The 19,823-nt window shown below is 38.6% G+C and overlaps 1 protein-coding gene across 33 annotated transcripts in view, besides 1 other annotated feature; it reads left to right on the top strand.

Annotated features, from left to right (window-relative positions):
- The window catches only part of KIF21A (kinesin family member 21A), a 149,893-nt gene that overhangs the window by 46,260 nt on the left and 83,810 nt on the right, over positions 1-19,823 (top strand). The window lies entirely within an intron of this gene.
- Positions 2,434-3,110: an enhancer, noted in NCBI's record as "OCT4-NANOG hESC enhancer chr12:39787553-39788229 (GRCh37/hg19 assembly coordinates)". NCBI's record gives its function as "activates a minimal SCP1, AML or CMV promoter by ChIP-STARR-seq in naive and primed H9 embryonic stem cells {active_cell/tissue: H9 hESC(naive and primed)}" and the evidence as "EXISTENCE:reporter gene assay evidence [ECO:0000049][PMID:30033119]".

Here is a 19,823-nt window from a genome sequence, read left to right as displayed (position 1 = left end):
GTTGGATTGTATGGTTATACCGCACTTCATTCATTCACCAATTGATAAATATTTGCATTGTGCCTAGTTTTTGGTTATTTTTGAATAATGCTGCAAATATTTACATATTTCTATGTCTACCCAAAGACATTACATATGTCTTCCCCAGTTTGGGAACTTGGGCAAATTACTTCGTCTCTCCTGGCTTGACTTTTCTTCTCTATAAAATGAGGGAGTTATCGTAAGTATTCTTTCAGGCCCCCTCAATTTCTATTATATAATAATTTAGTGCGCAAGTATATATACGTGTGTACCCATATAATTACTCTATTTCTTAACCATTTTAATTCATTATCTGAGGAAAACATTATGCTTCCTGCTTAGGGACGTAAAAATATAACGTTTTGTTTAGTAAGATCAATTGTTGAATTGTTCATTCATTTACTTCCACATTTATTAAGTTTTGGCTGTTGCTTTGTACTGAAGATAAAAGATGAAAACCCTTGGGGACCTTAGGGATCTCATGGTGTAACTGAATCCAGATTTGACTGCTCACTGCTTAAAAACCAAACACAAGAGGTGAGGGTTGGGAAGGAAAGCAGGTTTTAATCAGAGAGCCAGCAAACCAAAAAGCATTTTAAAGTACATTCTTACATTTTAAAATTTACCATAGGATTTTTAAAGGGCAACTTGGTATGGGATATATGTGGGTGTGGTACAGGGTCGGGGGTCTCTGTGCCTTGTTCTGATGGCTATCTTAGGTAATCACTGGTCCGGAGGTCAGGTTGGCCTTATGTTGACTTTGTCCCGATGATGGTGGACTAATTGTTCGTGCCTCCCCCTAAGCGGGAGGATTCCACAGGGGCCCTGTGCCTGGTTTGTTTCAAGATTAGCCTCTGGAATTTTTTAAGAGCATAATTAGATAAGCATGTATTGCTGGAGTGGGGTGTTTAGAGAGGGAAGGAATGAAGAGGAGAGGCGGGGGGAAGGAAGAAAAAGAAAGTGGGTGATTTTTCTTCTTCTTTTTTTTTTTTTTTTTGAGACGGAGTCTCGCTCTCGTCACCCAGGCTGGAGTGCAGTGGTGCCATCTTGGATCACTGCAACCTCCACCTCCCGGTTTCAAGCAATTATCCTGCCTCAGCCTCCCAAGTAGCTGGGACTACAGGCGCCCGCAACCACGCCTGTCTAGTTTTTATATTTTTAGTAGAGATCGGGTTTCCCCATGTTGGCCAGGCTAGTCTCCAACTCCTGACCTCAGGAGACCCGCCCGCCTCAGCCTCCCAAAGTGCTGGGATTACAGGCGTCAGCCACTGCGCCCGGCTGAAAGTGGGTGATTTTTATAACTGAGGACATAGGTTATGGTCGTAGAACACAGAAAATACACAGCTAGACAGATAAATGAAAATGCTATGGAAATATGGCGGTATGGAAACATGGCGGAAGAAGCTTTAACCTTAGGAGATGAGGATTGGCCTAACGGAAGTAATGCGGTGAAGAAGCGGGTGGGTGGGATGAGCGGGGTGGGGATGGGCATTTCAGGCAGAGGATAGAACAATTCTAGAGCAATGGAAAGAGAAAGAGCTTGAAGTATTTGAAGGCAGAAATGAGTCAGCCTAGCTTTAAAGGTAATGGGGAGCTACTAAGAGATTTAAATAGGAAAATTAGAATTTTTACTAAATTTGATGTTTTTAAAAGGTTGTTCTAGCAGGTTTATGGAAAGCAGTTTAAAATATATGTATGGTAGTGGACGGGGAAATGGGCTGAGCGGAGGTAGTGAGAACAATGAGAAGATTATTGCTATTGTCTAGGTGAGACATGGCTTTGAACTGAGCTAATAGTTGGGATGGGGAAGATGGTTTGAGAGATTTTACACAGACACAATGAGATCTTCATAATGGATTAGGTGTGAGATAGGTAAGAGAGAAGAAGGCTAGGAAGACTAGCATTTCTCGTTAACGGAGCTAGGGATTGGTGTGGGAAGAGCAGAGATGTGTGAAGAAAGTTTAGTTGTCCTTCGATATATATGGGGGTTTCAGGAACTCCCCCGCCCCCCATCCCTTCTTTAGAAAAGAGATTGGGATGGAGATGAAGATTTCAGAGCTGTAACTATATATTAGGTCGCTGTGAGAATCAAAGGCAATGACACCTGAAATTGCCATGCCAATATTACATAATCACCTGACAAAAAGTGGTAGATCTGGGTTTTCTGACTCCAGTGCGGGAGCTCTTCTACTCAGTGAAATATATTCTTGTGACATTATCATGGAGGGGATTTAAGCAGTCACTGGGGTTGTATTCCAAGATCTTTAAGATCTTTTCAAGTCTTGAGATTGTAACTAATTAGTTCCAGTCTTAAGATTGGAACTAATGTAAACTATGTAAATCAGTGCCTGGTACATAGCATGTGCTATGTCAGTGTTTGTGATTATTCTGTAAATCTACAGCAAAATTAACAAAAATGCAAGCCAATGTTTTATTTATGTCTAATTATTTATAAAGACGTTTGCCAAAAGCAGTAAGAGGGATTGCTTGGATAGAGCCACATGCAGTTTCTTTAAAGATTTGGTTAATGAAAATGAAGTTTAAATTAGGTGAAATTCAACAGGTTTTCTGCTTCAAAACGGTAAATAGACAAAGACTGCAGCATTTGATGTGAAGATGACCTATGTATTGCATGCTCTGCAAGACTTTCAGAAGAATTGGCTTAGAAAAAGCGCTGCCTGGCTGCTGCAGAGCTTTGATTAGCATCTGAATGGAGGAATGAAAAAGAGATGAAACCAAGCATTCAAAATGAGGAGGACTAATGGATTTCCTGCAGATTGGTTTAGTAGTATAGATACTTGAGTTCCGGAATATGCCTGACCTGGTCTGGCTGACTACAACACTGAATCCAAGCTGCAATGCTTGTATTGCTATGCTGAGCTCAGCGTTCCAAGTTAAAAGCCCGCCTACTTCTATTTATATTTCCTTGTTCTTCATCAATAAAATTGGATGGTTTATTGTGAGGGTTAAATGACATTACATGAAATTACATGAAAACCCAGTTGTGATTTTCATGTTATTTCATGTCATGTTATTAACCTCAGTGCCAGGCACATTGTAAATGTCCAACCTGTATTAGTTCCCTTTCTCCTCACTCCACTGCAAGCACAGAAATAGTTAAAAATTTATTCTTTTTCTCTTAATACTTTTGGGAAAGCATTAAAAAATTGCCTCAGTTAGTTTAATACTGACTATCTTAGGCTGGGTTTCCTAGACAACTGTGCCTAGAAGCTTGTGCTCTACCAAGTGGGGAAATAACAGTGTAACAGAAGTGAGGGAAAAATGAAGCAAGGCAGAGAAGACGGAATGGCAAATACAAGGTGACACATAATGGAGTTGCGAACACAGCCAAGTCACCAGGGGTGTCTCTGGACAACCCATATGGAAACACTCATTTGGGATTAGTCCATTGGAGGGAGGAAAGGGAAATAATTTATCTGTGCCTTTTTCTTATCTCTTGCCTTCTATTGGTTAGCATTTGCCTCCTGCCCTGCTGGGTTCTGCTACTCATTCCAGAAGCTACTGGGAAGCCAGATCCTGCAACCCCATGGAGCAGCCTTCATTTGTGTCTAGAAATGGTGGGAAGTGCAAGGGCTTTTGTGAGTCTAGTCAGACCAAGTCTGGTGCCATACTGCTGCAGGTCTTGCACAGTGCCAGGAGCTCAGCCCTCCCTCCAGGCGAGGCTGAGACAGCTGACAAGGTTAGGAGGTGATGCAGGTAGGGCTGAAGGATCTTCAGAAGACCAAAAACTGGGTTCCCTACACAGCAATTTCCTTAGAATGCTATTTATTTCAGAAACATTTTCTTTTAAAATGTGGATCCTTGTTTTATGTAAACATCTAGTATGGCTCATTTATAGTATATATTTTCCCACAATCTGAATTTTATTTTATTGTCTTTATTTTATTTTATTACCTTTTTATTTTATTTTATTATCTTTTTATTTTATTGTCTTTTTCTTTTAAAATTTCTTTTAAAATGTTGATCTTTTTTATGTAAACATCTAGTATGGCTCATTAATAGTACATATTTTCCCACAATCTGAATTTTATTTTATTGTCTTACCAGTGACAGCCAGTGTAACACATGGTGCTGAATTCTCTCAGCACTTGAACATATGAGTGCACAGTGCTGCAAATGCTCTCAACCAACAAGAGCACCAACTACCTCCTTGTCCTGAACTGAAGAAGTTTTTCTAACTTGCATGCACTTCACTTTGGCCTTTGCATTTATTTTACTGCCATTTATTTCACTTTCTGGCAAACATAAGTGGTTGACAAAGGGTGTGCAAGAGCTGGGTATGCCACAAAGAAACAAAGGAATGACCACTGGATTATAAAAGAAAATGTTCTTGTGAAAGCTCCTTCAAGGAAATGCTGAGCAAACAGAGTAATCTCCCTTATGTGCAGCAAAAAGCACCACACACATCACTGCAGCCTGGTAGGACTGGCTGGTGGTTATACAAACAGGGGTTGGGAGAATGATGGTTGAGGCATGCTGTGGCTGCAGGCAGTGTGAAGAGCCAGACATATATTTATGTCACAATCTTCTTGTCACTCTTTCTTTCATTCTTCATGTCACACTCTTCTTGTCACTCTTTCATGAAAAGCCAGGCAGCACTTTTTCTAAGCTCTGTTAATTAGCTCTAACTAATGTTGCTCTCTCTTCGCTGGAAATATCCTTTTAATCCCCAGGTCCTGCTGATTTTTCCTTCCACATTTACTGTGTCTTATCCCCTGACTTGTGCTTTTGTGATTATTTCCATCTTTATCAATCGCTTCTTTTAAAAAATTGCAGTTTAAGGCTGGGTGCGGTGGCTCATTCCTGTAATCCCAGCACTTTGGGAGGCTGAGGTGGGTGGATCATGAGGTCAGGAGTTCAAGACCAGCTTGGCCGAGATGGTGAAACCCCGTCTCTACTAAAAATACAAAAAATTAGCCGGGTGTAATGGCAGGTGCCTGTAATCCCAGCTACTCAGGAGGCTGGGGCAGAAAATTGCTTGAACCCGGGAGGCAGAGGTTGCAGTGAGCCGAGATTATGCCACTGCACTCCAGCCTGGGTGACAGAGCAAGACTCCATCTCAACAACAACAACAACAACAACAACGAAAATTGCAGTCTTTAGCATTTGATTTAGCTTTTACTTCATACACTATTGTAGATTTAATATATGTGATTACATATACATAGGTATGATAGAGTTGTTTCTCCAAGTAGATTATAACTCTTTGGAACCAAATTCTTTTTTATATTTTTATTTTTTATATTTGAGACAGGGTCTTCCTATGTTGCCCAGGTTGGTCTCAAACTCCTGGGCTGAGGCGATTCTTCCATCTTGGCCTCCCAAAGTTCTGGGATTACAGACGTGAGCCACCATGCCCAGCTGTGAACCAAATGTCTTAAACCTCCTCTGTATACACCACTAAATTTAGTTCAGGATGCATAGGGAGCACACTATAAAACCCATTTAGATAGATAGTATCGCTTGTCAACTGAACTGTAGCTATCTGAACTCAGGAAGTGAAAAAAAAAATTTTTTTTATTGAATCCTTCAGTATCCAAACTTGCTATTTGCTACCTAAAACTTAAGAACCAAATGGATTTGGAATTTCTTGCTATTAGAGCTTGTTATTGAAACTCTATCTAAGCTCAGGAACCAAATAGATTTGCACAGCACAGGATACTCGTCTTTCCAGATTTATGTTGTGTTTCAGTGATGGAATCAGTATGTGTTACACTGAGACTCTAGCTATGGCTCCTTCTATCCTGACTTCAGTATAATAATTACACTCAATTATTTTAATCATAATTACTCAAGTATAATAATCATACTGTTACCACTATTGTGAGGGCTGTGGCTAGGCAGGAAGTGTGACCTAGAGAATACTCACAGGGTTTGGAATAAGACATGCATTGGCTTGAATTCTGGCTCTCTCTGGCACTTAACTGTCTATGTTTTACTTTTGTCACATGTCAACTTGTAAAATTAATACCTACTTCTTAGGATTATTGTACTGAATAAAAATAATGCATATAAAATGACTGGCATATATGGTAGGCACTTGTTGAATGACATATATTGTTGTTTTTTTCCAATAGTGCTATTAATCATCTCTTTCAATTCTGACAAATATATATATATTTTTTTCCTTCTTTAAAGCAATCAGTCAAGTAGTTTTTGTTGAATATCTTTTGTAGGTTATACATTACAGTGTATATATGACTTTATATAGAATACTCTTTTTAATATAGTTTGGTATAACATAAATGAAGTTTATCCCACAATGTTGTGGTGGAGCAAGGTTTAGATCTTAGGTTTTCATTGTTTTTAATTTTTTTCTTTTTTTTAATAAACTTTAGTCTCCTAAATAAAGACTACCTTCAAGGAAATAAAATCTAACATCCAGTAATCCTGTTTGTCTCTACTTTTCCTCGTAAACTTGAATCATTCACCTCTTATTAGCATAAATTGAGTGCTATTGTCTTTTTAAACCAGAATTTTCTCCTTCCATTAAAAATTCTTATTTAAATCATTCACTTCTATGAAAATATAATGGGAATGATCTGAATACTCATACTTTGTAAAGGTTTTACAGTGTGTGGATTGCACAAGTGAGAAAAAACCTAGGTGTTTTTTTGTTGTTGTTGTTGCCATTTTGAATAGTTTCCATAGTCTTACTTCTCTCATTTTCCTAAGAACCTGCCAGATGGGAAGCATAGTGCTATATATAGGAGGTTAGGTGTATGGGAGAAGAGATACAACGATGAATCTGAGATGCAAGTAGTGTCCCTAAAACACAATTTGGTTGAAAGTGTGTGTGGGAGACAGACAAATGTACAGAATGAAGGGAAAGTGTATAGTGTGTGGGGTAGTGTGGGAAGAAGAGGAAGATGTGAACATCTCACATCCCACATTGCTTGACATCCCAGCAGATCTGGAGCAGAGGGATAGGCTGTTGGGTTGACACTATATAAAAATCTTCAAAATATGTAGTCATTAATGGAACCTGAATTAAATTATTGAAACTACTGTGAATTAACATTTTAAAAGATATCCATCTTCATAACAATAGATACCTCAGAAAAAAAATGCCCTGCACTCCAAAAGAGTAATGGATAAGGATATATTGTACTGCTCCTAGAAGAAGGTGGTCATTCTCTCAGTTGGTCCCAAAATCTTGGCATGGCTTGGAGCTTAATGGAAAAGATATCTGATTACGGTAAATGTGTCTTATCTTCCAAAGTTCTTTTATGGTATAAATTGCTCACAAATTTGATTTGGTTTTTGGGTATTATGGACTGGTGGCAGTGGCAAGCAGACTCCATTGAAAATAGATGCATGGGAGCCTGTATTTTAATTGCCAGTTAGGGCATCTGGCAAGTTCACCATGGTGCACATTATTTCTCAGTTTATACCACATGTTGTTCCTTTGAGCTAATTTGTGTCATGGATGATTCCATATTGCCCTTTATTGATTTCAGACTCTTAAATGGACAAAGCAAGTGTTTGTATATTAGAGGTACATAAAAGCATATGTGAACTGTGAAACATCAAGGACATATACAATATTATTAACTATTTTTCTTTGTTCTTAGGCTTTCAGGAGACATCAGCATGTATGTATATATGTGTGTGTGTGTGTGTGTGTGTGTGTGTGTGTATGTGTATTTACTGAATAAATATTAAGTAACCAAATACCTGTATTGGTAAATATTACACTGTATGACAGACATTTACATTTAAAGTTTTTTTTTAAATAGAGGAAAATTAACTGATGAAAAGTTTCAGTTCTAACAAACTCTAAAACATATATGTACTAATACAAAATTTACATATTAAGAAGTGTTACATTAAAATTGGACAATTCCCAGATTTTAGAATTCAAGGCATTTTTACCTGTGTTTACAAATTTCTATTAGAGAATGCATTTCTTTCAGTGAGGTTTCAGTATGTTTAGAGCTTTCCTATGTTTTAAAATAAGGAGTAATTTAGCACTGTATCTGGTAGTAAATGGTTTTACAAAACACTGATTTTTGTGTAGTGAATCACAATCTAAATTAACCAGAAGTTTAGTTGGAATAGGATTTTAAAGCCATTCTAGAGATATATCTTTACAACAAATGTAAAAGTTTCTTGTCATAGTTTTATAAGCATGTGTAAGTTAGATTATAGACTTAGCTGCTCTGAGATCCAAAACAATAGGTGTGTAAATAAGAGAAATTATTATTGCAGTCCAGGGCTAGTAGGGAATCTGCAGTGCTGGGGACTAAGGCTCCTTCTATCTTGTGGCTTTGCTGTCCCTAGGATATTGATATAATGTGTATGGATGGAGACTGCCATGTGTACAGCCTAGCAGGAAGAGGAACAGGGAGAATGTCTTCGTCCATTTTTGTTACTATAAGCAAATACCTGAAGATGAGTAATGTATGAAGAAAAGAGATTTATTTGGTCATGGTTCTGCGCGCTGTAAGAAGCATTGCTTCTGGTGAGGGCTTCAGACTGCTTCCACTTACGATGGAAGGTAAAGGGGAACAGCATTATGCAGAGATTACATGGTGAGAGAGGAAGCAAGAAGGGAGGAGATTCCAAGCTCTTTTTAACAATCAGTTCTTACAGAAACAAATAGAGAACTCACTCACACTGCCTCCGGTCCCCGCCATGGAGGGTATTAATCTATTCATGAGGGATCCACCTCCATGACCCAAACACCTCCTATTAAGCCTCACCTCCAACACTGGGGATCAAACTTCAACCAGAAGTTTGTGGGAGACAAACATGCAAATTCCAATAGAGGACCTGCTCTTTTCTTCGAAAGAACTGACCTGGAAGTAGCACACATCACTTTTCTTGCAGCCTTTTAGTCAGAACTCATGTCACACGTTACCACCTATAGCAAAAGAGGGTACCATATACCTAGCTAAGACCCCTATTACTGTGGAGGAAAAAGAATATGCATTTGGGGAGACATTTAGCAGTTACTGCCATGTGCACTGTCTTTTTCATCCATGGAGCATCTCTACTCCCTCACCACGTTTCATCCATCTCATAATTTATTGTACTTGGGAGATGGGAAGTCAGCTCTCTCCCCAAGTTCTGATGTGGATTCTTGTGGTTGGAACATCCAATCTGAAAGCTAATTTCTTTGCCATCTACTAATGGCCCACATACGGATCCAATATACAGTGGATACTGTATCCATTGTATAAGTAGGGGTGGGGTAACACATCCAAAAGACAGCAGCAGAGGAGAAGCAAGATAAAGATACTCCATTTGGAAAGGGGAAGATAGGAAACCTAGCAGTTACTTGTCCTTAGCAACTGTCAAATCCTGTATGTGGGAATCATGATGATTTTTATCCTGGCAGTAGAAAAAGATCTTTGTTAGCCTCCTGGCAAGCTTGCCTCACTGTCTTTGGGGAGGAGAAAATCACTTGTTCTCCCTGGTTCTGGTTATGTCCTTTGGGAGGTTCTCTATTGTCTGTTGTTCTCCATGGCCAAATTTAAAGTGGACATTGGAAAGTGTACTGTTTTCTTGGGGTTGGATAGCTTTCAAAGCTGACTTCCTGCTGATACATGTAAGGGGGCCTGAGAGGTTGTCTTTGAGTTGGACAGTCATAGGCTTTTACAGTCCAAGCTTGTGTGTGTGTGTGTGTGTGTGTGTGTGTGTGTGTGTGTGTGTAACTACTGCATGCTTTCAAAAACTCATTGAGTTTTCTGCCTATTTGTGCAGATTAACTCCAAATGCAAGTAACCATGGCTGAAGATAGTTTTTTTTTTTTCCCCAGCTAAAAATTCTGGATTTAAATTGTTGGACTTTGTGTTCTGCAATTCTCCAGTGTCTTAATCAATGACAGTTACCTCCATGCTTAGGTGAGAAGGTAATACCTTTACCATTTTGATTTCTGGACAGGCTCCCATTGTCTGGCTAGAAACTGTTAGGGTCCCAGGATTATGTCAGTTTAGGTTGTGTCTTCTGAACCTCTTGCTTTAACTGGGTTAGTAAGGAATATAGAAGAACCTGGCTTTTAAACCCTATAAAGCCCCATGGTAAAGTCAACTTAGATTTCAAGCTGTATGTGGTGTGGACTTTCCTCAGTAGAGCTGAATTCACTTAGACGTCTGCCTGAGACTGCTTTATTTAGGCTGAGGTTATTTCTCTTGAAGGACTTTGTTGAGAACAGCAAGAAGTAGCCAATCCATACTAAGTGTTTTGGTGTGGCTTAGAAAGAGTCAGTAGCTTTTCATCTTACTGTTTGTTTTGTCAGCACCTGCCGTTCAACTTCCAAGTCAGTGTCACATATTACAGGTTCTATTAGGTGGCAACTACTTCTGGCTGTCAAATTTTGTTAGGACATGAGTTGAGCTATTCTAACAAAGACCCAGCTTTACAAGGGCTTAATAGAAAAGAAGTTTACATTTCTTCCACATTACAACCAGACTATAAGCAGTCCAGAACTGATAAGTACCATTGTGTTGGTGTCCCGGGATCTTTCTATCTTATTGATTCACCATCCCTCAGGTATTACCCCCATTCACATGATCTGGAATAGTGCACCCTGACCGCTCTGCATTCCAGCCAGTGAAAAAGAAGAAAAAAAGAGGAGGCCCATCCTTTCCATTTAAGGACTCTACTGTTGACATTGACCGGAAGTTGGACACATGACCACATCTAGCTGCAAGGAAGCTTAGAATGTGCAGGGTGTCCAGGCAAAGATTTTGTTAATAAGGAAAAAAGAGAGAATGGATTTTGGAGTACCATTAGCAATTTATGCCACAAAACATAGGATACATATTGGAGCTTAAAGGACAAGAACAAAAACAAAACCCAGAACAAATAAACAGAAAGCCTTTATCACCACACTGAAAATTAATTATTGGGTGGGATAATTGTAAAGTACAGTAACCTAGGCATCAATATCTGACTGCACATATATGTATATATGTATTTAAACTGCCTTTGTAATAATTTGGTCTGCAATTTGCCTTTCAGAGACTACAGTGAAATGCTTATGTGCATTACATTTGATACAATGTGTTTAAAAATTTATGTCTTCACCTGTGAGTTTTTCCCTCATTAATACTTAATGAGGTATAAAGTACAGAGTAGACTCAAAATAGCATAGTCTCAAGCCTTTCTAGCACAGCTTCCCTAACTACAGTGAGAGAAATGTGTAATGTACTCTCAAACTGGAAATTTCTTTGAGTCTTCAAGTCTTATCTAAAAAATTAGTATAAATTTTGTATTCTTCATTTGTATACACATTCTATAAATATATTTGTTTTTAAACTAAGGATATTTAAATTACTTAGTAATTTTACCACATATAAACTTGACACTCCAGGAAGATATACAGTATTTTTTCTATGTCTTTCTTTCACACTGATGCATACCTCTTTGGGTATGGATGAAATGGTCGAGAAATTTGGGTAGTTGGGCTTATAAAACTTATGTGATGTATTTTGTTCATATCCATTAGCATCCAGTGATGAATTAAAAGATATCTGATATTGGTACTGGTGGCAGGCATTTTAAGGGCTACCTCCTTCCCTATTTTCTCTGCCCTTCCTTCTTTCTCAGTGGTTGCTTCCTCAGCCCACTGCCTTCACATAACTGATTCTTCATTCTACCAGTCTCCAATCAAATGTCATAGTTCCTGAGAAAGAACTGTCTTGACTATGGCAGACAGACCCCAAGGTGACACCCAATGATCCTTGCCTCCTGGTTACTTACTTTGCTCGAGTTAAATAGTACCTGTGAATTGCTTCTAATTCATAGAAAACAGCAAAGGTGATGGGATATCACTCCTATGATTACATTATATGAGACCAGATTTTAGCAGACTGGAGAAAGAGATTCTCCTGGTAGTTTTCAAGTAGTAAGCTGACACACTATGAGAAGGTCACATGGCTAGGCCATGAGAGTGGCATTTAGGAGCTGAGAGCTAGCCTTTTGCCAGCAAGAAAAAAGGTCCTCAGTCCAGAACTGCAAGGAACTGAATTCTTCCAACAACTTGAATGAGCTTGGGTGAGGACCCTGAATTCCAACTGAGAATGCCACCCAGCTCTTGCATTGATTTTAGCCTGGTAAGACTTTGAGTGAAAGCCCTAGCTGTGCCATGCCTGGATTTCTGACTTACAGACACTGTGAGATAGTAAAATGTGTGTTATCTAAGGTTCCAAGTTTATAGTAAGTTGTTTCACAGCAATAGAAAAAATGTAGAGATTAAGAGTTCTTTGCTGCTTAAGGGGGAAAAAAAGCCCTATATACCTATATTCTATATCCTGCCTCCATTCTTCATGGATGTGGCTGCCAACATTTGGAGCAGCCTTGTCCAAGAATGGGGGAGTGGGAGACATGATCCAGAATCAGGGATATAATCCAGAATCGGGTCTACAAGTTTCAGCTTCTGTCGAGCTTTCTTGTCTGAGCCCATGCTGTGAACCACTGATTTAAAAATTGTAGTTGTGTGAAGATATTTGACTTTGCAAAGTCTAGAAACCACCTAAGTTATTAGGAATGGCATATTAATAAAATTCTATTCTGTCTTTACAGATAATGTTAAGACAGCTCTTTTAAAACAATAGACTTAATAATCATTATTAAGATTTACCTTAAGTAAAAAAACTCCATGAGTTTAAAAAAAAGCAAAGCACATTTCTTTGGTTGATTTATTTTACATTTGATTTCCTTTTCCTCAAAAATCCCACCTATTCAAGAGTCCTCTGAAATACCATGTTATCTCTTCTTGTCATGACCATACTTTTCTTCCCTGTTCTTACTTGGGCTGATGTCTTCCATCTATTTTACCTTAAGGCTTTGAAACTCAGAATTCAGCATCAGCATCATCACCTGAAATGTATTAGAAATGCAGAATCTCAGCTCCTAGACCACTCAGACCCTTAATATCAAAATCTATGTTTTTAAAACTGTCTATTTACAGTAATTCATGTACACATTAAAGTTTAAAAAGTACTGCTCTAAGCCTCTTCATGGTGTTTTAATAATATATATTTTTAATTACAGTTATTTATTTTTTATTTTTTTGAGATGTCTCATTCTGTCACCCAGGCTGGAGTGCAGTGGCACCATTCTAGCTCACTGCAGCCTTGAACTCCTGAGCTCAAGCGATCCTCTCACTTCAGCCTCCGCAGTAGCTGGGACTATAGGTGTGACCCACCAAGGCAGGCTCATACAGCTATTTTTGTATTTGCCTCATTTTTTATTATTAGATTATAAATTCCCAGTTGTCAGGAGCTTAAGGTTTATTCTTTATTTCTCCTGCAGTGGCTAGCCTGGTTAACTTACCTATAGGGGTACGATAAATTATTTGTTAAATTGAATTGACTCTAGGAGGATTTCTTCCTATTTTCTGGAAACAATTTTTATAGTTAGTCTCAAATATCTGTCATTTAGGATATCATTTGTTGATATAGCAGGAACCTTTATAATCTACTTACAGACATTAGGCCTTTGCCGGAAGGGGAAAGCTAGTGGCTTAGACAACTCATTATGGTTCAAAAATCTCTAATGACATTTTTATTCAATTCCTAATACTCAAATTGTTCTTTCAGAATGTACAAATGTAGTTCCTAACTCTATTAGTATTCACGCTAATGGATCACATTTATCTATTTCCTTTGACCTTCAATTCAAGAAGAGGATTAAGTGCATTTTGCACATTTGTCAAAGATACTTTGTCCTCTAATGTTTCTCTAGTACATTCATGCATTAAAATGTCTAGAAGAGCAAGCCAGCTTTCCTAGATGCCTGCTCTTGCCCACTTGCTAAGGATCTTTTCACTTCCCTCTGATTTTGTCCTAAAAGTAATAGACCAAATTAAACTGGTCAGAATTGTATGAGAAATGCTGTTTGTATTCTCCATTTCTGATACTTCATGCAGTAATGTAACGCTCCATGGATGACATTCGGCTAGCTTTCTAAAAGGCAAACAATCTGTAAAAAAAAGGTTGAAGCAAATGTATGCAAGTTTATTAGAAAGGTAATTTCATTGACAGGTAAGTTCACTCCACATGCTGTTTTGTGTGCATTTAGGAAAATATGGCTTGTTAATTGTTTTTTTGGGAGGGGGGTTTGTTAATTGTTCATTTGGATTTTAAATACAAAAAATCTATTTGTATCCTGAGTCTTATGGAGACTCTTCAGTTTGCCTTAGTAAGCATGACAGTAAGATATCAGAGTTGTTTCGTATAGCAAATTCAAATACACTATAAAAATAATTTTAAAAATCTAAGTCTGCTGAAACTATTGAAAATGCCCCATTGGAGTAGATTATTTTTTTCTAAATTAAATTCATGTTGACCGGAGAAATTAAGACACATATGCAACATTGCCCTTTCAAACATGACTCATGTTTTTATTTTATTGGCAACCAGATTACCTGTAATTGTTCTTAGAATCATCACAATATAAAATTTTCATAATTTTAGAGCTGATGCTTAAGAGAACCTTAGGATCATCTTATTTCATCTTATCATGTGCAGGAATTTTTTCTATGGCAATGGTTTTCAGTCATCTTTTTTGAACACCAAATTATCTTTTCTTAATATAAAATCTTACAAATATATAAGAGCTGAATCTTCTGTGTTTTAAGTGAATGATGAAAGACAGATTCATTCTGTCTCCCACCTCCTGACCCCACAACTTGAGGTAACTTTTGGCAGAGAAACTGAAAATCAAAGAAAGGTAATTTTTTACAAAGTTGGTTGACAAGGCCAGACATCTATTAATTGAAACAATCTCCAAATACATAATTTTAAAAGATGGTTGCTGTGCGGGGTGGAATTCAGTTTCTTGTGCTTATATGACTGAGGTCCCCATTTTCTTGCTTGCTATTGTCTGGGGATTTTACTCAGCTCTTAAACATAGTCTTCTCTGTAAGTAGTTCACAACATAACTGTTTGCTTTCTTCTTGCAGTCCAGCAGAAATATGTCTCATGCTTCACCTTCTTTAAAAGACTCACTTGCCTAATTAGATCAGGCCCACCCAGGATGATTTCCCTTTGATTAACTCTAACCGGTTAGTAACTAAATTGGAAGTGGTATCTCCTCATAATTACAGGTTCCACCACACTTATGGGGCAGGAATTGTGAGTGTGGATCATTGGGGATCATCTTCAAATTCTGCCTACCACATTTTCCTTACAAAAATAAAGTGTTCCTTATAGTCTAATGTCTTGGCTTTGAGCTGTCACTTGTGGTTATTGGGAGATGACAGAATTATGGCTTATTTTAATGTTTGTGGTAGGAGTTTTTTTTCCTTGATGGTAAAAATTGGTATCAATAACATGTTTGTTACTTTAGGACCAGATTCTTAATCTGCACAGTATCATCCATATTTTTAAAATGTTATTTTGATTTCTAGGAAGCAAGATGAAATGACAAGTCTTTTTTCCTTCCCAGAGTGATTGTAAACAAAAATAATATACCTCTGGGATCAAGGATGTATTACTATCATTATAGAGTCAGAATGCTAGCTTTCCCCATAATGAAATAGTTTTTTTTTTTTTTTTTTTGAGACAGAGTCTCGCTCAGTTGCCCAGGCTGGAGTGCAGTGGCTCGATCTTGCTCACTGTAAGCTCTGCCTCCTGGGTTCACACCATTCTCCTGCCTCAGCCTCCTGAGTAGCTGAGACTACAGGCGCCCGCCACCACGCCCAGCTAATTTTTTTGTATTTTTTTAGTAGAGACGGGGTTTCACTGTGTTAGCCAGGATGGTTGCGATCTCCTGACCTCGTGATCCACCCTCCTCAGCCTCCCAAAGTGCTGGGATTACAGGCATGAGCCACCATGCCCGGCCATGAAATAGTTTTAATAAAACATATACTATTATGAAGAGTATAATGAGACCCTTCCCTTTCCCCAAAGAACATATGTACATTTAGAAAGAACTTTGAAGGAGAGTTTTGAAAATTCTGTATATAATTGGTATAGGAATGTAATAAGAAAAAAATAGAAGATGCTAGAAACTAATCTGAGAATGAGAGTTGAAATATCATCCAGTTATTACTTTTATTCTGAGATTACATTTTCCCTTTTACTCCTCCTTTCTTGAATTTTCTCCTGCCCTTCCTTCAATCTACCTACCTTCCTTCCTTCCTTCTTTCCTTCTTCTTTCTTTTCTTTTTTATAAAAGATGGAATCTCAGTATGTTGCCCAAGCTAGCTTCAGACTTCTGGGATCAAGCGGTCCTCTCCTCTTCAGCCTCCTGAGTAGCTGGGACTACAGGCTCGAGCCACCACACTCAGTTTCCTTTCAGTTTTAAAAATGAAACTGAAGTGTTAATTAAACCTTTTTTATTATAAGAATTTATAAAAGTCATTCGATTGACCAACAAAGATGATACTTTATAAACTTTGTATTATCATTTGTTACATATTTAACAACCAAAATCTATTGAAAACTCCCGCTGTATCCAGGAAAGAGACTGGGTCAATGACTTGTTTGTGAAAGGCTGGAGAATTGTAGGGACCTATATTCTAGGTCAATATTGACTTCAGGAATGGGAGTGAAAGGAATGATCACACAGTGGTAGTGCTTTAAAAAAGCGTTGTTAGGCCGGGAGCGGTGGCTCACGCCTGTAACCCGAGTATTTTGGGAGGCTGAGGCAGGCGGATTGCCTGAGCACAGGAGTTCAAGACCAGCCTGGGCAACACGGTGAAACCCTGTCTCTACTAAAATACAAAAAATTAGCCGGGCATGGCAGCGTGCTCCTGTAATCCCAGCTACTCAGGAGGCTGAGGCAGGAGAATTGCCTGAACCTGGGAGGCGGAGGTTGCAGTGAGCAGAGATAGCGCCACTGCACTCCAGCCTGAGCAACAGAGGGAGACTCCGTCTCTTAAAAAACAAAAAAACAAAAAGTGTTGTTACCATTTCCTGAGATTAACCCTGATTTGATCAGGATCTCAATAGGAAACAGATGATATATCAAAACAATATAATTTAGGAATGTTTGGGGGAGAACAGGCAGCCTCAAGGGAGGCGACAAGAGATGAGGCAGTGTTCTGGTGTTAGTAACAGAAGGTAGACTACTGTACCACTGGCTATGGTATAAGAAGTGGCTGCTTAATAGGAGCTGTGGCCTTTGGGAGAGGGACAGAGCCCACCAATGGGACCTGGCAGGGAAGGAATCAGGACAGTAAACATTCTGACCTCATTCCTCTCCTCCCCTTAATGTCCTACTGATACCTCCCATTGCTGAGCTTCATTGGAAGCCTGAGGGCAAGGGAGCCCATTTTTGACGCCCATGGACATCAGTCTCCCAGGGTACAGGGTAAGTTGAAGATGGAAGTTAATCAGAAGGAAGAAACTAAGAAATATTTGGCAGAGATCTCTAGTATGCCTTTTGTGAGCCTTTTGGTAGCATCTTTCATCATGCAGAGACCAGAGTGAGTGTTCATTTTAGAGGATAATGTGTTAGCTGGTATGCCTAATTAGGTGGTGTCATAACATTCACAAAACTTCCCTAAATTCTAACAGGTTTTTTTTTTTTTTTTTAGACAGAGTCTTGCTTTGTTTCTCAGGCTGGAGTGCAGTGGCACGATCTCGGCTCACTGCAACCTCTGCCTCCTATGTTCAAGCAATTCTCAAGCGATTGTCCTGAGTAGCTGGGACTACAGGCGCCCACCACTATGCCCGGCTAATTTTTGTATTTTTAGTAGAGATGGGGTTTCACCATATTGGCCAGGGTGGTCTCGAACTCATGGCCTTGTGATCCGCCTGCCTCAGCCTCCCAAAGTGCTGGGATTACAGGCATGAATCACCACACCCGGCCAATTCTAACAACTTTTATGCTAGTGCTTCTGCCCCTAAGGACTGTGTCATAACCAGGGAACAAATGCACCTCAAGAAGTTTTGACTTATTTTCCCCGAACTGACTTTTTCTCCCTTCTCAGTCTCGAAAATTTTAATCACCCTCCAAAACCCAGGTCAAATATAGTTTCCTGTATGCAGTTTTTCCTGTTCCTCCCCCATTACCCTCTGGCTAATCTTTATTCCGTTTATCCTTTGTATACAATATTTCATTGACCATATGTTTAATTTACTTATCGTTCCCCTACCTCTGACCATGGTTACACTCCTCAAGTTTTTGTTTTTATTTAAAACATTTTTTGCCTTACACACTGTCTGACATTTAGTAGGTGCTCCAGAGGGCACTGTTGACCAAATGAAATTTTCTGTGGGCCTTGGATTATCAATAGGCCACCACATACAGCCACCAGCATCAACAGAAATTTTATGAGCACTTTGGAAAATAGGCAGATGGTTCCTGTTGTCATTTGAAGTACTCCCTCCCCTCACTCCCTCAGTTTTGTGGGAGTAGAGGCTTTCTATTTCCGGGAGAAAGGCTAAATAAAGCTCTGGAGTTTCCAGAAGAATTAATTACAGTGATGCATAGGATTGGACTTTTATAAAAATCCAGAATTTGACTATTTTTTTTCTTTATTTTGTCAGCCCATGTGCATTATTTCAATGTAGTTCTTTGGACATCTGCTATTCAACAGAGTGGCACAATGTTACCCCCTTGTGAATGATACTGGTTTCCTCAATTGAGAGAACTTTTATCAGTGTTCTGTGTCCTTAGATGAACCGTGGGATAAAAAGTAGGAGACGCTAGAGTGGAAGTCAGAGGAAGATGGCCCAATAGCTATTTTTCCTGCTTTCTTTTTCTGGTTAGCCACTACAGAACTGTACTTGAGGGAAATAAATTTTTATTTTTCCAAGGGGTGTTGTAAACCAGAGACTGAGTAGTGTAGTCTAGAATTGCAGCCAGAAGCATTAGCTATGTATGCTGTATATTAGGGATTTTAATTGAAAATATATATGTTTATGAATATCTGTTTATTAAGAATAAACTTCATAAAGTTTATGAGTCCAGTGGACCACATAGAGATGAGAGAGTAGAATACAGAGCTAATTATATAGATTAGGATAAGATTTCTGGATTGCTTTTAACAGCTGTTCATCATTAATGGATTAAAAACAGGTTCTTTTCTTCATCTTTGTCATTCATAAAAGTATGTACTCCCTAGTCCCTGGAACACATTACTGTGCTTTATTGTCTTTAGGCTTTTCACTCAATTAATAATCTCTTTAATGGAGTTACTGAGGTGTGTTTCTTTCTTGAATGTCTTGAAGAAATACCTTTCTTCTCATCACCCATCATTGTAATTAAAGATCCATTTTAGGGAGAGGAATTTCTTTTTATGGGCTTGAGTTACTTATTATTTATGCAGTGCCCGATCTCTTAGGAGACAATTCAGCAAGTCCACAAATGGCCTAACAAGTTCTTATGGTGTGTCAGAAACTCTTTTCTAGAACAGAAGGTGGAGAGTTAAAGTAGGGCAGATGCTTCCTTAATGTGGTATCTACTAACTGGAATGAACTAGAGGAGGATTTAAAAAGGGACCAGAAACCCCAGTGGCTCAGTTGTGATGACAAAATGATAGCTGTCCTAATTTTGGGGAAATGGAAGGAAGGAATTTAGTAAGAAATAATTAACATCAAGAAATGAAATTGAACACCAGTAAGTAGCATCCAACATAATGATCATCCAAAACACCAACAAATGAGATAAAGAAAGGCAAAAGACCTGTACAGAGGATAGATTTATTGGTGTTCTCTAGGAAGAAGAAAGGTGTTACCAAGTGCCAAGTGGGCTAGTTACAGATAGGTGTAAGTAAAAGAACTACACAAAGCGGGAATCAGGTCAGATTATTGAATAAATTGGAGAACTACCACAATCTTGTGGGGATGAGATCAGAATAACTCAAGCAAAAGAGGAGA

Source organism: Homo sapiens, chromosome 12 (assembly GCF_000001405.40).
Source record: "Homo sapiens chromosome 12, GRCh38.p14 Primary Assembly".
NCBI lineage: Eukaryota > Metazoa > Chordata > Mammalia > Primates > Hominidae > Homo > Homo sapiens.
This window is presented reverse-complemented; position numbering and strand designations above follow the sequence as displayed.